At 34.4% G+C, this 16,875-nt stretch overlaps 1 protein-coding gene across 29 annotated transcripts in view; it reads left to right on the top strand.

The window, feature by feature from the left end:
* The window catches only part of CCDC14 (coiled-coil domain containing 14), a 76,054-nt gene that overhangs the window by 12,411 nt on the left and 46,768 nt on the right, over nt 1-16,875 (top strand). For 25 of the 29 annotated variants that reach the window (XR_007095720.1, XM_011513081.3, XM_047448748.1 and 22 more), the window contains 4 exons: nt 34-128; nt 1,500-2,016; nt 3,829-3,970; nt 15,064-15,146. Coding sequence is in view for 28 of the 29 variants with exons in the window: in XM_011513081.3 (XP_011511383.2) it covers nt 34-128; nt 1,500-2,016; nt 3,829-3,970; nt 15,064-15,146 (837 nt within the window). In the remaining variant the exon portion in view is untranslated. The remainder of the gene's footprint in view (nt 1-33; nt 129-1,499; nt 2,017-3,828; nt 3,971-15,063; nt 15,147-16,875) is intronic. The other 4 variants (XM_047448739.1, XM_006713733.4, XM_005247711.5 and 1 more) reach the window with 1 other exon arrangement.

The raw sequence follows: 16,875 nt of genomic DNA, 5'->3' as shown, positions 1-16,875 counted from the left end.
ATGTGATTAATTTTTTCTCCCTCTTACTTACAGAATCTCAGGCAACTCCTCATTCTAGTTATGGCTTATGTACCTCCACCCCAGTCTGGTCACTTCAGCGGCCACCCTGCCCTCCAAAGGTTCATTCTGTGCGTACAGTTCTTATACTACATAAGTAACTATTTGCTTATAGCAGTCATTCAGGAGGGACTGTTGAATTTATTGCTTATAACTTAATGCACTAGGATTTAAAGACCAGTTGTTTATTTTTTTTTGCTATAAAAGTTTTACATGTTTATGGCCGAGCGCCGTGGCTAAACGCCTGTAATCCCGGCACTTTGGGAGGCCGAGGTGGGTGGATCACGAGGTCTGGAGTTCAAGACCAGCCTGGCCAACATGGTGAAACCCCACCTCTACGAAAAATACAGAAATTAGCTGGGCATGGTGGCACATGCCTGTAATCCCAGCTACTCGGGAGGCTGAGGCAGGAGAATTACTTGAACCGGGACCCAGGAGGCAGAGGTAGCAGTGAGTGAGATCGCGCCACTGCACTCCAGCCTGGGCTACAGAGTGAGACTCTATCTCAAAAAAAAAAAAAAAGAAAAGAAAGAAAAGTTTTACCTATTTATTAATGACAATAATGAAGGAGAAAGAGGGGAAGAGATCAGTAGGAGGAAAAAAATCAACCATACTGACCACCCAAGTACAACTGCTGTTGACACACTGATAGAGTTCTTTCCAATCGTTTAATCCTCTGTATAGGTTTTAGTTTCTGGTTTGTATTTGTTAACATTTGCTTTCCTTTTAAAATAAAGTTATAAGTCAACAATACAGTCTTATATACTGCTGCTTTCACTTAATACTTTATTAAAAACATGTTTATTAATATATACCCTTTGAATTTTTAATAACTTGTTAATACTGTATTTTTTGGATATACCATAGTCTGTGTAACTACTATATGGTTAGGAGTAGTAACCATATATTTGAGTTTCTTATAATTAATATTATTATTAATAAGCAAGTTTTTAATATCAGAAACTTACTAATATTTTTAGCTTAAAAGTAAGTTGGATTTTTTTCCTCAGTGCAATAAAGATTCTTGTTTTTTAAAGCTTAATTTACCCTGTAATATGGGAGCATTACAAGGCCATGACTAAAATAGACTGTTTACAAATACCACAGATGGTTTAAAAGCATCAAAAATTAGTCCACTTTGGGAAATTACATCATAAGAAAATAAGTTTAAACATACAAAAAGTTTTTGCACAAACATATTTACAGAAATGTTTCAGCAGTGAAAAACTGGCTGTTACTTAAATGTCTAACTGTATGGGAGTAGTTACACAGACTATAGTATATCCTCAAAATATAGTGGTAACTACTTATTAAATATTCACAAAATGAATATATTAATAAACATGTTTTAATAAATATATTTCATATATTTGAGTTTGTTGTAATTAATACCTACAAATGAGTGCTCATACTTCTGAAGACTTGTTTTTATCTTTCTTTAGGAAGTTCAAACTGATGGCAACAGTCAGTTTGCATCACAAGGTAAAACAGTTTCTGCAACCTGTACTGATGTTCTACGGAATTCATTTAATACCAGTCCTGGAGTTCCATGTAGCCTGCCCAAAACTGACATATCAGCTATTCCAACATTGCAGCAACTGGGCCTTGTTAATGGAATTCTGCCACAACAAGGAATTCATAAGGAAACAGACCTACTAAAATGTATTCAAACATATTTGTCTCTTTTTCGATCTCATGGAAAAGAAACGCATCTGGACAGTCAGACACACCGAAGCCCTACTCAGTCACAACCAGCTTTCTTGGCCACTAATGAAGAAAAATGTGCCAGAGAGCAAATTAGAGAGGCCACAAGTGAAAGAAAGGATTTAAACATACATGTGCGAGATACAAAAACAGTGAAGGATGTACAGAAGGCAAAAAATGTGAACAAGACAGCTGAAAAAGTTAGAATTATAAAATATTTGTTGGGAGAGCTCAAGGCCCTGGTAGCAGAACAAGGTAGATGGGACTTATAACTTTCTGTAGTATGGTGTTATACTAAATAGCAATGTCATGTTATTTAGCTATCATTTAAATGGAGTTTGTGGTATTTTCCATAGAACTGTGTTTTGAGCTAATAAGAAAATGAGTTCTACTTATTGTATTATTTTTTAAGTTTTGATCCCTTCTTTCCTGTGGATTTAAAATGCGTTTGAGAATGTCAAACATTCAGTCTTTTGCTTGCAAGTGTGTATTTATTCTGCTTGATAATAGACCTTGAAAAGAGTCAACCAAAGAGAATTTGGACAGATAAAAATTTTAATTAGAGAATGCCTATAAATGATTAACTCCCTGAGTAGACTGATTATTCTTCCTGTTTTAAAAAGATGCAGAGAATTCTTTCCTGTCACTTCTTTAATAGCCAACTGTTAGATTGTTTAACAAATCTCACTTTGAGAAGTAACGCATACCTTCTTATGCCCTTTTCAGTGTATTTTTAGGACTTTTTTTCTTAAATCAAGGTGTTTCTGAGCCAGATTCTATTCATTTGTTTCCATTCTGTATATGTATTCTATAGTAATGGCTTTTGCTTGAAATGAGTTACAGTTTTGTCATCTTGGAAACACAGTAATTGATTTTGGAAGCATTGATTGAATACCTAACGTTTGCAGACCAAAAAAAAAAAAAATCTTAAAATGCTATATAAATGTAGCACCATTAGACCAAAGATTTAGTATATTAAAATTGCTCTGTTTTCAGACCTTCAACTTATTACCATTTTCACAGTCAGATACATAATCATGGTAATAATAATAATACCATTAGCTGTCATTTATTGAACACTTACCATGTGTCCAGCACAGTGCTAAGTGTTTTATATGCATTATCTCATTTAATCCTCCCAGCAGCCCTATGTGGTACTGTTACCACTCCCATTTTACTGATGAGGAAACTGAGACTCCGTCTCAAAATAAATAAATAAATAAAGATTGGTAGAAGACTGCTTGATCATTGAACACAGTTGTTTACTGTGTACATATACTTTTCATGAGGATGTTAAAATATCTGTGAAACTGAATACATTTTTGTAACTTAGAATACACTTTCAACTTCTAGGTTATCAGATGATTAATAAATAATTTTAAGTACTTTCAGCCCGTAGTAAATATGAATGGGAATGAGGGGACAAAGATAAAAGGCAAAAGAATTAATATCTACCTTCTATGCCTGTGTCTGTTTGCAATCTCCAAAAACATCTACTGTCCACAATTATTAACAAACTTTTGATGTCACATCAAATGAGATGTGGCTGCTTGTGTTCAATCTACTTTAGAAAATTAAGTAATGAAACTATCTTAGCAGACCCTCACTCAATATTTTGCCATATTAACCCCCTAAAGTAAATTGTTTGCTTATGCCAGGATCAAAGGTTGTATTATAAATGTTAATACTATAACCAGTTATAGGAAACCCTATAGCAATCATAGGAGTCCACTGTGGTCCTTTGTAACTATGGACTAAGAGTTTTGTGTAAGCCACATTCCTACTTGACTCTTGAACTGAAAAAAAAAAAATCACTTATGTAATAATCCTGTGATTTAAGATTAATCTTTAGTTTACTGAACTTAATTTCTTTAGAATTCTGAGGAAACAAATACCAGCAGCATGAAAGAGAAAAATGGAACCTGTATAATAAATTTATAAATAATTGAGTTGAATTTATAACAAGAATGTACATATCTATAAAGATTTTCTTTTTTAGTAATACATACTAATAATCTTGTCCAAAAATATAATATTGATTTTACTCATTTCTGTTGCCTTCTATAGAGGATTCAGAAATTCAGAGGTTGATTACAGAAATGGAGGCATGTATATCTGTACTTCCAACAGTAAGTGGAAACACAGATATTCAAGTTGAGATAGCACTGGCCATGCAACCATTAAGAAGTGAGAATGCTCAGTTACGAAGGTAAGAATTGCTCTTTGAATATTTTTGTCTGTATGCAAAGATGTCTCCTGGCCAGAACAAAGGTGCAAATGACATACCTAGGACTTCATAAGTAAAATTTATTTGCTGTCTTACTGTATTTCTACTTTTCTTCCTCATTTTTCAGAGATTTCCAGCATTCTCTAACTCTTCCTTCTGCCCACTTGTATGTATTTTCTCCCACTTATTTTACCCCTGTTGTCACTTGGTAGTGTGTAGGCAGAAAAATGAAGTACCTCTGTATATTTATCAGACTAGTCTAAGTTATGCTGCAGAAACGAACTTCTAAATCTCATTTGCATAGCACAGCAAGTTTCTTTCTCCCTCATGCCAAGACTAACATGGATCATTGGTGGCTCTTTCATCATGTGACTCAGGATCCAGACTGCCTCCATTTTATGAAGCCACTGTCTCAGTATGTGTTGTCTAGGAAAAAGAGAATGTGGATGTGGTAATGGGGGAGTCTTACATGGCTCAACCCAGAAGTGATCGTTTCGCTACCACTTATATTTTATAGGCTGAAACAAGGCACATGGCCCTGCCTAATAGAAAGGTCTGGGACATTATGTTAAAAGCAAACTGTTTTTCTTCTGCTCTCACACCACAGCAATCGACACAGAACACTTATATGACCAAATGTGTAGGGATTTCTCCCCACCAGCAAGCAAACAATCAGTTCTGCAACAGACACCAGTTGGGTGTCCTCCAGTTCAATTCCAACACTATCTACCTGGAAATGGTATCAGATCCCACAGGTTGAGAGCTCAGTTCCACAAGACTGAGCTCTACTTCCAATGCCAATCACAAGCCCCAGGTTATTTTGCCTGTGTTTCTGACTGATTGGCTATAAATCGAAGTTCCCTTGACCTCCTTCTTTGGGCTCAGTTAATTTGCTAGAGCGGCTCACAGAACTCACGGAAACACTTAGTTTACCACTTTATTATAAAGGATATTATAAAGGATACAGATGAAGAGATGCAGAGGGCAAGGTATTGGAGAAAGGGCATGGAGCTTCTATGCCCTCGGTGGGTGCACCACCCTCTAGAAAGCTCCATGTGTTTATCTGGAAGCTCTCCATACCCTGTCCTCTTGGGCCTTTTATGGAGGCTTCATTGGATAGTCATGGTTGAATCATGGTCAGCTGTGAAGAAATGTGATTTGACAAAAAGGGTATGATCTAATAGACAGAGTGGGGAAACCCAAGAAGTTCTGTCTGTTCAAATTCTGTTTGACCTCTCTGGGGAGCATTCCTTTCTCCTCAGTATGAGGCAGGTCTCCTTCAGAAATGGGGTTCTTATGACCTACAAACAGACAAGGTAGGTCAGAGAATTTCCTTATGGCCAGCTGTAAGAAAGGTGGGAGAAGATTAGAGTATATTTTTAGTTCCTATGGCCTACAATGGGGAGGAAAAAGGAGCAGGTGAAAGGATGGCAAGAGAAGGTTAGAGAGAGAGATTCTGTTTTCTGAGGCCTGCTTCTGAGGCCTAAAGTACCTGAATATTAACAAACGACTGTCTTTCACCTTTATCACTGAAGCTGGTCTGAAGCTGCTTCAGGAACCAGGGACAAAAGGCCAAATATTTTAATAAAAGGTATGTTTTTGGTTTTGACTGCTTAACAAATAACAAGGGCTGTGGGTGTTGACAGCCAGGAACTGTGAATGAAAACATATATATATATGTATGTGTATATATACGTATATATATGTGTATGTATGTATATGCAGTAATAAACATACACACACACCACACACATTTATATACAATATGTATATATAAAAATATATAAAATAATGTCACAGATATATACTTACTTCTATACACCCAGGAAGGAAAGGAGAACCTTAGTAAGCACTCGTGTAGCCCCACCACACTTAGACATAGAAAAAAGTAAAATTCTTTGATATTTTTTCTTTTGGTCATCTTAACTTGTTGGAATTACATTCTTAATTTGTTTAGGAAAGATGTAGAACAGGGATCTAATCTTGAAATATAAAAGGAATCACCCACATATTAGCAATAATATCTTAACTTTGAATGTTTCAGTGATGACCATCAAGGCCAACACTTCAGTGTCTATTTATTAATACACTTTGCAAAATATTGGAGTACATATCAGGTGCTTCTGCAGCACTGCAATGCGAATGTGCCCTGAGAGAGTGTTACAGCTGCATAAGTTATAGACATTGTGTAAGATATGACCTGCAAGGATCTACACAAATTTTTAAAGAAACTGGAAAGCAATTAAATAGTTGGAGCATAGCTAAAATATACGTATCTGGAGCCTGTAGAGGCATGATAGCTAGTGAGATGCACTCATTTAGGATTCTTTGTCTAGAGGTCATTATCCTGTAGCTACTACGATATAAGATGGGGTTGCTGGGTTTAAGATCTAATATCATCTTTAGTCTTGACCTAAGGAATTCCTATTACCAGCATAAATTTTTAAAACCAAAAGTGAGTAAATAATAAAATAATGAACAGCAAATACTGCTAACATTTATTGAATGTTTTATATATGCCAGACTATTGTCCTCGATATGTGTCACCTCTTTATATCTTCACAACAGCTTTGTGAAATAGGTGCTATTTACTCGCATTTACAGATGAGGAAATGAAGGCACAAAGAGTTTATGTAACTTGCCCAAGGTTATATATCTAAGAAGTTAAGAGTCAAGACTCGAACCCAGGCAATTTGGTTTTAGAGTACAGTGATCTTAACTTGTAGACTTTTACACTGTCTCGGTTAGGAAGTAGAGATTTAATTATACCTCACTATTTAGGTGTATTTTGTGGAACATAGAATGTATTGTAAGCCATTCAAAGTAAACAAGCATATTATTTAAAGGAATGACAATCAAATAATTGGTTCCTTAAATAAGGATACCAAAACTTAGTCTGAGAATATTGTATTTTAACATTGTCACCATGGAAAATATTAGTGGTTCTTATTTATTTCGGTTCCTTAGAACATTTTTAAATTGCCTTAGGAGCTAATTCATAAGCCACTCAAGAAAATGAAGTTTACTATTTTATGGGCCACCACTTGTTTCTAGTTTTTTTAAAAGGTATTTGTTTGATGTCTGACCTAATTCTTCAACTGGCACCAGAGCTATTTGGCTGGCTGTCTTTACAGGACAAAGATTATATAGCATGCTATTGCCACTGTTGTTTACTTGACCTTCTAAAAGATGAAATAACTAAAAAATGAAGAATTTATTAGATATGTTCTTTTTAGCAGAATGAGGTTTCTGGCAGTAGTGTAGGAAAGTTTGTGCCACTTTGGTAATCTATTTGGAAAGAATTACCCATTATCTCCATTACAAATAAAAATTGGAATACATTGGTTCATTCGAAAGTGTTTCTCATCATTTTCAATTTTTAAAGAAGTATTTTTTTTTTCCTGTTTAGATATTTGGAAACTACATGTTTCTTTTTAACCACATCTTTCAGGACTTTCTTGGAGTTTATTGCCATCTTGTGGCTTAAAAAATAGCTAGATGCATCGTTTCTATGATATTTTGGCATTTTTGGCATTTAGGCTAGACAGTTTTTAATGTGTCTTCTGATATAGTTATTCAGCATTTAGCCTTCCTGGTCCCCAACCACTAAATGTCTGTGGTGCCCCATTAATTTTGACCACCAGAAGGCCTGGCACATTTCCAAATTTCCTGGATGGGAGTTTGGTGGGTATTACCTCCAGTTAAGAGCCATTGAGCTAGAGAGTGCCAAGAATTCATGACCACCTCCTGATATTAAACTCAACTATGAGACCATTATGTAGCCACACAGAACATAAAAATGAAACGGGAGTGAATGGAAGGAGTCAAGGATGATGTTCAGGTTCTGTCTTCATAATTTAACAAATGTTAGCATAATTCTTCCAGATGGGAGCTACTAGAGGAAGAATAGATTTGTTTTATTTCATACTGTTAATGTTTTTTGAGTTAGGCAAGGTAATAGGAGAGCCTGTGAGTTAAGATTTAGACCTGCTGAGTTAGACTGTCTGGAGTACAGGAACAAGATGAAAGATGGAAATGTAGACTCGGGAATTATTCTCTGAACATGTTTTTATTGAGCTTTTTGTATAGATCTGGCACTGTTGTAGACACTGGAGACAATCTGATTGAAAGTAAGTGATCTGTTACCAGCATATAAGTAAGTGGTATATTCACCAAGAAGGTAGAGTGTGTGAATGCAGTGAAAGGTGAATTGCTGGGGAGTAACAACTTTTTAAGGAAAGAACAGAAGATTAAAATTAGGAGAGTGACATCACAAAAGTCACAGGAAGAAAACAATTTATAGGAGAGATTTTGCATAGCATTAAAATAAACAGACAACAAGAACAAAGGTAGGTCCAGAATAAATATCACAAGACAAATTACTCAAAGAACTTCAGAAAAACTTAAAACAGTATTCCATAGTCTCAAGGAAATTAAAGATAGTAGGATCTCTTACAGGGAGAAAGACTGAGATTGAGACAAAGTGCTCAAAGAAGAAAAAGAAAAAGAGAAGAAAAGTGAGTTAAGTGAACTCAGAAAAATAAAGCAAAAAAATTACAAAAATGAAAGAAACAAATGTAAAATCATTAATAAACAGACAAACTCAGGGATATTGTAGTCCACTAGAACTTAAGTATTGTGAAGCCTGAAGTTTTTTGTTTTGTTGTTTTTTGGGCTTTTAGGTTTTTTTCCCTAAGTCTTTCTGTTTTAATTGCTACTAAATTCATAGTTCAGTGTCTCCTACTACCCTTAGCTTCTTCCTCTTCCTAAACCCTTTAAAAAATTTTTATTTTTATTATGGTAAAATATATATAATATTTACCTTTTTATTTTTAACCATTTGTAAGTGTACATTTCAGTGGCAATAAATAAATTCACAATGTTCTGTAGCCATTACCACTATCTGTGCCAAAACTTTTTCATCCCCAACATGAACTCTGTACCCATTAAACAGTAACTTTCTCTTCTTCCTTTTCTTACTTCCTCGTAAGTTCTTGTTTTTTGTTGTTTTTGTCTCTGAATTTGAGAAGGCTGAAATTTTGTCGCTTTATAGTTTGCAACTATATTTCTAGTGCTAGGAATTGTGCCTAACACTCACTCTAACAAATATTTGTTAAATTGACTGAATGCATGGTAGATAAGCTTGAGGGAATCACACAAGGCAAAATAGAAAAAGAATGATCTAAAAATTATTATGAAGAAGATAATACATATGAAAAAGAAAATAGATATAAATTAGTGTTCCTGAAAAAAGAGAACAGAACAAATGGATTAAAGACAATATTAAGATATTTATAAATAAAAGGGAAAATTTTCTGGTTGTACCACTTTATTCTAGCCTGGGAAACAGAGCAAGACCCTATCTCTAAAAAAAAAAAAAAAAAAGATCTGTGTCAGCAGATGAATAGGACATAGAAGATCTCAGAAAAACCATGCAAAACAATCAACACCAACACATATGCTGGTTAAGTTACTACACCCTAAGGATGAAAAAAGTTAATTTTTGGAGGCACTCAAAAGAAATAGAAAATTATGTATGAAGAGAAAAATTTTAGGCTATCTCCAGCCTTTCCACGGTGATTTTCGTTGCCAGGGGATCATAGAATATCATTTACAAAGTTCTGAGGGAAAGAAAGTATGCCCCGAGAATCTCTAATGTGGTCTAGCTGTCCTTTTAGTGCAAAGGCAACAGTCATATTCTCAAGTGTGCAAGAACTTAGGAAGTTTAACACCCTTGAACTCCTTTAAAAAACAAAACAAAAAACTTGAATGGCAAAGTCCAGTCAACCAAAAGGTGAATTCAAACAAAAGAGTAGACAGATGTGAACATTGAATCTATACATAAAACTAAGACAACCGTGGAAATTATGGTTATAGATCAGAATGTGTTAGTAATCTTGACAATATGAATTCCAAACTCTGCATTTTTCATATCCTATTTCCTAAATTTTAGATTACTTAGGAATAATATTTCTTGAAGTAAAGAAATATTTGCCTAATCAGTTTTGGTTTCACTTGTTAATTTCTTTCCATTAAAATCATGTAATCCTAAATTCAATGCATAATATTTTAAAATAGTTTTTGTAATATTATCCCATTATTTTAAAATTCTTCTTAGATATTTGTTTTTTTGTCTCTGCATATGCTGGAGAATGTATGAATGTTATCCAGCAAATAATGATAGTTATTTCTGTTTAACAATGTGCTAGACGTTCTAACAAGTGCAGTAAGGCAAGAAGAAATAAAAGCCAGCCACATTGGAAAGGAAAGAAGTAAAACTGTTTTGTTCACAGATGACATGATAACTCTTGTAGAAGATCCTATGGAATCTACAAAAATGCTGCTAGAGTTAATAAGAAAGCTTAGCAAGGTTGCAGGATACAAGATCAATTGTATTTTTATGTGCCAGCAATGAACAATTTGAAATTAAATTTAAAATCAGTACTAGAGTAGCATCAAAAAAATATGAACAATTTAGGGATAAATTTGAAAAATATGTAAGACCCATACACTGAAAACTACAAAATATTGCTGAGAGAAATTAAAGATCAGTATAAGTGAGAGATAAACCAGATCCATAAATGTAAGACTTAAGATATCACTTCTCCCCAAATTGATGTATAGATTTTATGTAATTAAAGTAAAAACCCAAGCATGCTTTTTAAAAATATTTAATTGAAGCTGATTCTAAAGTTTACATGGAAATTTGAAGACTCTAAAGTACCCAAAACAGTATTGAGAAAGGAAAACCAAGTTGGTACTATTCAATTTCAAAACATAAAGGAATAGTATTCTAAGAGGTGTGGTGTAAAGGTGACAAATAGATCACTGAAACAGAATAGAGTCTAGAAACAAATTCACACATAGAGATAGTGTTTTGCAAAGATATCAGAGAAATTCAGTGGGGAAAGAATACTCTTTTCAATAAATAGTGCTGAAACAATGAGAGAGTCATGTTTTTAAAAAATGAACCTCAACCTTTACCTCATACAGTATACAAAATTGACTTGAAATGAATCACAGATCTTAATGTATAAACTAAAACTACAAAACCTCTGAAAGGAAACGTAAGAGAAAATCTTAGGGATTTTGGATTGGGAAAGATTTTAAAAATACAACACAAAAAATATAAACTAGAAAAAAATGAGTAAAGTGGACTTCATCAAAATTTAAAACTTCAGTTCTTCAAAAAACACTTATTAAAAATGAAGAAGCAACCAACAGACTGAGAGAAAATATTTGTAAAACATGTACCCGATAAAGGACTTGTATTAGAATGTATAAAGAACTTAAGACAGTATAAATTTTTAAATATCAAGTTGAAAAATGGGCAAAATATTTGAACAGACACTTCACCAAATAAGTGGATATCAAATATGAATATCAAATAAGAATATAGAAAGATGCTTATCAGTAATGATTAGGAAAGTGAAAATTAAAACCATGACAAAATACCACTGCATACCCATTAGAATGGCTAAAATTCAAAATTAATAAATGTTGGGATGTGAAGGATTTCACAATTAACTGATGGGAATGTAAAATAATTTGAACACTTTGGAAAAAAAGTTTGGCAGTTTCTTAGAAATTAAACATATATCTAACATATGATCCAGCCAGTCCACTCCTAGATATTTAAGAGAAGCCAAAGCATGTGTCCACACAGAAACTTGTTGATGAGTGTTCATAGGAAACAACCCAAATGTCTATCAATAGGTGAATGGATAAACAAATAGTGCTATATCCATACAGTAGAATACTACTCAACAATAAAAGGGTAAGAACTATTGATACATGCAACAGCATGGATGAATCCCAAAATTACTATGTTGAGTGAAGCCAGGCTAAAAGAGTATATATTCCATAATTCCATTTATATAAAATTCTAGAATATGCAAACTATAAATAAGTGCTTATCTGGGAGGAGAGAGTTATGAAAAGGGCTATGAGGAAACTTTAGGGGTGATGAATATGTTTTTTGAAAAATTTTTAGCTTTGAGGGTACACGTGAAGGTTTGTTACATAGGTAAACACGTGTCACAGGAGGTTTGTTATACATGTTATTACATCACCCAGGTATTAAGCCCAGTACACAATAGTTATCTTTTCTGCTTTTCTCCCTCCTACCACCTTCCCCTCCCTCCTACCATCCAGACCCCAGTGTCTGTTGTTTCCTTCTTTGTGTTAATAAGTTCTTATCATTTAGCTCCCACTTATAAGTGAGAATGTGGTATTTGCTTTTGTTTCTGCGTTAGTTTACTAAGGATGATAGCCTCCAGTTCCCTTCATGTTCTTGCAAAAAAACATGATCTCATTCTTTTTTATGGCTGCTGATGGATATCTTAATTGTGATGGTGGTTTTACTACATCATATGGCAGAAAATAAAATGACACACTTTAAATTTATGTAGTTTATAGTATGTCAGTTTTATCTCAAGCTGTCTAAAAAAAAAAGAATGACTTGAATAAAAGAAATATTTGCCTAAGTAGCAGCAGTTCTTTTCCTTTTTTAAAATCCAGTATATTTAAATTTCGTACATATCTTAAAATAGCATGTGTAACATCAATTTTTAAAATATCCTTTTTTCTGTTTTTATCATGTATCATTTTAAATAGAATATTTTTTTAAAAGCCTAGCCCTGAAAGCAGGGAATGAGAGGAATGAAAGTAGCTACTTGTACAGTTAGGTTGGAGGGAATTTTTTTAAAATATGGGAAGAGTTTTAATATGTTTCTTGGCTTAGGCACATGAACTGGCAAAGAGGGAGAAACTGCAGATACAGAAGATAAAGGGAGTGGGATAGGAGCAGAGTCCTTGATGGTCTAGGAGGAGAATGGGATCCAGGGCACAGATAAGGCTACTCATCAGACTAGATGGAAAAAATGAGGGCTAATACACATATGGATACACCCTGGGACCAAAGGATGACTGTGTTTGTCCCCAAACCACATTATTTTTAGTGAAAAAAGGAAAGTATACAATTGAGAAGAGGAGGGTAGGAATGAGAGGCTTGCAGTGAATTATTAGAAGTTTAGATTGGTTACGTTTGGGAAGAGAAGAATCTGACCAGGGACATACAAAAGGATTATCGAGGAAAGCTTCTGTTGTAAAGGGGAAACCTTTAAAGAAAATCAGAATTTTATTAAAACAAAAATAAGCTCACATTATACTGTTGTTCTGCAGCTTGCTGCTTTCACTTCATAATGTGTCTCAGAGATCTTTTCACGTCAGTACAAGTGGACCTCTCGCTTTTTTTATTATCTGTGTATTAGTATTTCATATATGGATGTACCATAATTTATGTAGCATTTTAAGTTGTTTCCAACTTGGCACTATTAAATAATTGCTGTTGTGAACATCCTTGTATGTATCTACAAGGTGGGAGATGCTTTTGCACATGTAAAACTGTTTCTGATGCTTGATAACCTAGAAGTAGAATAATTTTGTCAGAGATTATGAACATTTTACATTTTGTTGGACATTTCAAACTGCCATCCAGAATGGTTATACTGATATAATCACATGAATTGAGTTAATTCATTTCCTGTACTATCATCAGAAAATGTTATTTCTTTTTATTTTTGTCAATTCTATGGCCAAAAAGTACCTTCTTTTAAATTTGCAATTCTTCATGTTAGTGAAGATGAGCATTTTTATCATATGCTTATAGGCCATTTCTATTTCTTAGGTGAACTGCTCATTCTTATCCTTTGTCACTTTTTACTAGGTTGCCTTCCTTACTGATTTGTAGGAGTTCTTTAAATGTTATGGACCCCTTGTCTATAACATATGTGCAGGTATTTTCTTTCAGGCTTTTAATTCTACAGGTTTCAAATTTTGCTATGGTTAAATCTTTCGTTCTTTTCCTTGATGCTTGCTGGATATTGAGTTTCACTTAGAAATGCCTTCCCGACTTCAAGATTATGTAGATTTCCCCCTAAAACTTGTATAGTTGGGTTTTGTTTACATATTTTATCACTTTAATCAACTCGAAATTAATATATGTGAGTGATGTGAGGTAGGGTACTATCATTTTAGAGTTAGTACCAAAAATAAATATTTTAAGGCAAAATATTTTTAGGTAAGTAATTCTGGAAAGATAATAGAGGTAACTTTTGTCCCCATAAGCGATAACTTCTTAGAAGTAAAGAAAACACTTGCATATGTTTCTATTTGTGAAGCAGATACATATTGTGAAGTTCATTGTAACAGGGCAGATTTGTAGCCTGTTAATATTCTCGTTACTTAAGACCATTAACTTTTCCATCTAATAAAATTATTAGAAGCATAGATTTGTGTTTCAGCATATGACAAACATCAGGCAGATAGATGTCTGATAGCAGTCAGTGCTTGTAGGTATTCTAGTTGATAGTAATGACAAATCTTTTAAAAAGTAGATGATTAACTACAGTGATGAAGATACACAGAAAGACGATGAGAAACAGCATGAGCAGATAGAAAAGGAAAGAAATAGAAAAAAAACAACAAATCACTGAAGAGACAAAAAAGAGAAATTAACACTTTCCTCATGAGGGTTTTTTTTTTTTTTTTTTTTTTTTTGAGGCAGAGTCTCACTCTTTCGCCAGGCTGGAATGCAGTGGTGCGATCTCACTCACTGCAACCTCCACCTCCCAGGTTCAAGCAATTCTCCTGCCTCAGCCTCCCAAGTAGCTGGGATTACAGGCACGCGCCACTACGCCCAGCTAATTTTTGTATTTTTAGTAGAGATGGGGTTTCGCCATGTTGGCCAGGCTAGTCTCAAACTCCTGACCTCAGGTGATCCGCCCACCTCGACCTCCCAAAGTGCTGGGATTACAGGCGTGAGCCACCGCGCCTGGCCCATGAGGGGAGGTTTTATGTTGTTTCAGGCAACCTTAAAAATTATCTCAGGCCTCATAATAATAGTAGTATGGTTTTGTTTTTGTTTTGTTTATTTAGTTTTTGTCTTTTGGGGATGAGATGGACTTCTGCTGTCTTAGTGGGTTTATGTTTTATCTTTTTTGATAGGCTATCACATGTATACTATTAAATTGGCTTGGTATGCTTGCATTCATAGTTCTTCATTATTTCTTTAGGCAGTTGAGAATTTTGAACCAGCAACTCAGAGAACAACAGAAAACTCAAAAACCATCTGGTGCTGTGGATTGCAACCTTGAATGTAGGTAAAAGAACTTTAAGGATTGATAAATTATTTGTGGCTCCGGAAATGTTGATAAAGAATTGAGCTTTTGTAATTACTTTGAGGGGATAAATTTAAAATATTGTAGAAACATAAGAAAATAAAAGATGCTGTCACTTCCCAATAATATACACCTTTTTTTGTTTGTTTGTTTTGAAATACAGGAGTGTGTTTCCTTTTACATATCTTCTCTTCATATATAATTGATTTATTTAACACTTACTGAATACCTACTGTGTGCCAGGCACAAATAGAACTATATATGTACTTTTTTAAAAATGAGATCACACTGTACATACTTTTCCACAGCTTCTGTTTATTCACTTAACATATAATGGACACTTTTGTCTATCAAAATACATAATTATGCATCTTTCTCTTTAAGAATTACTTGGGTATTCTGCTTATCCAGGTCTACCATAATATGGTCCTTTGCTAATAGTACTTTCCCCTTTTTTCCCAGTGCAAACAACATTGCAGTGAAAATCTTTGTATATGTCTTTGTGCATATATGTCAGCTTTGTTTGTTTGTTTGTTTGTTTGTTTGTTTGTTTTGAGACGGCGTCACTCTGTGGCCCAGGCTGGAGTGCAGTGGTGCGATCGTGTCTCACTGCAACCTCTGCCTCCAAGGTTCAAGTGATTCTCTTCCCTCAGCCTCTCAAGTGTCTGGGATTATAGGCGCCTGCCACCACGCCTGTCTAATTTTTGTATTTTTATTAGAGACAGGGTTTCATCATGTTGGCCAGGCTGGTCTTGAACTCCTGACCTCAAGTGATCCACTCACCTCGGCCTCCCAAGGTGTGGGATTACAGACAATGAGCCACCACGCCTGGCCAGCATTTTTGTAGGATAGATTTATAGCAGTAGAATTGTTGAGCCAAAGGGTATATACAGTTGCAATTGTGACAGATATTGCCAAATTGTCCTTAATGATCACAGAGCTTAATAAAGAAACTATAATAGTACCAGAAGAAAATATAAGAATTTTTATTTTTTTATTTTTTTGGAGGGGAACTTTTCCTAAGCCTGACAAAGACTCAAATGCCACAGAGGAACAGATTGATAAAATATGTCCCCAGAAAACTTTTTCAGTTTCTACATAGCAAAATTATAAATACATTCAAAACATAAGCAAAATGGAGAAACAATACATGACATGATGAAGGCTTAATCTTCTTAATATATAAATATGTCTTATAAATCAATAAGAAAAAAATATGATTGCCCAACAGAATGAGCACTTTATAAAAGTGTTCAGTTTCACCAGAGTGATTCAGAAATTATCACTGTGTCTCCACTGTTAACCAAAGGTGAGGAAAGGGAGAGGGTAGGAGAGAGGAGGCCTAGAGGACAAGTGGGGAGATCAGTAGTTGCCACTTTAAATAGCTTCTCTTATTTATATTATCTGATCATTTATCTTATTGTTTCTTTGAGATCATTACTGTGTATAATTACTTGTTTGTTATCAGCTCTGTGAGAACAGGGGCCACGTCTGTGTTGTTCATCTCTGTATATTCAGATTCTAATACAATACCTCACACATAGGAAGCATTCGCTGAGCATGTATTTGCTCAACAAATGGTGCCATATACTTTTATCGCCATGAAAAAGAACGTGATAGATCTATGTGTTTGTATACAACAGTCTTATGGGAAAAAAAGGCAAAGTTAGAAATTGTGTATAGTATGTGTGTGTATGTAGTGTAATT

Source organism: Homo sapiens, chromosome 3 (genome assembly GCF_000001405.40).
Source record: "Homo sapiens chromosome 3, GRCh38.p14 Primary Assembly".
NCBI classification, from domain to species: domain Eukaryota; kingdom Metazoa; phylum Chordata; class Mammalia; order Primates; family Hominidae; genus Homo; species Homo sapiens.
This window is presented reverse-complemented; position numbering and strand designations above follow the sequence as displayed.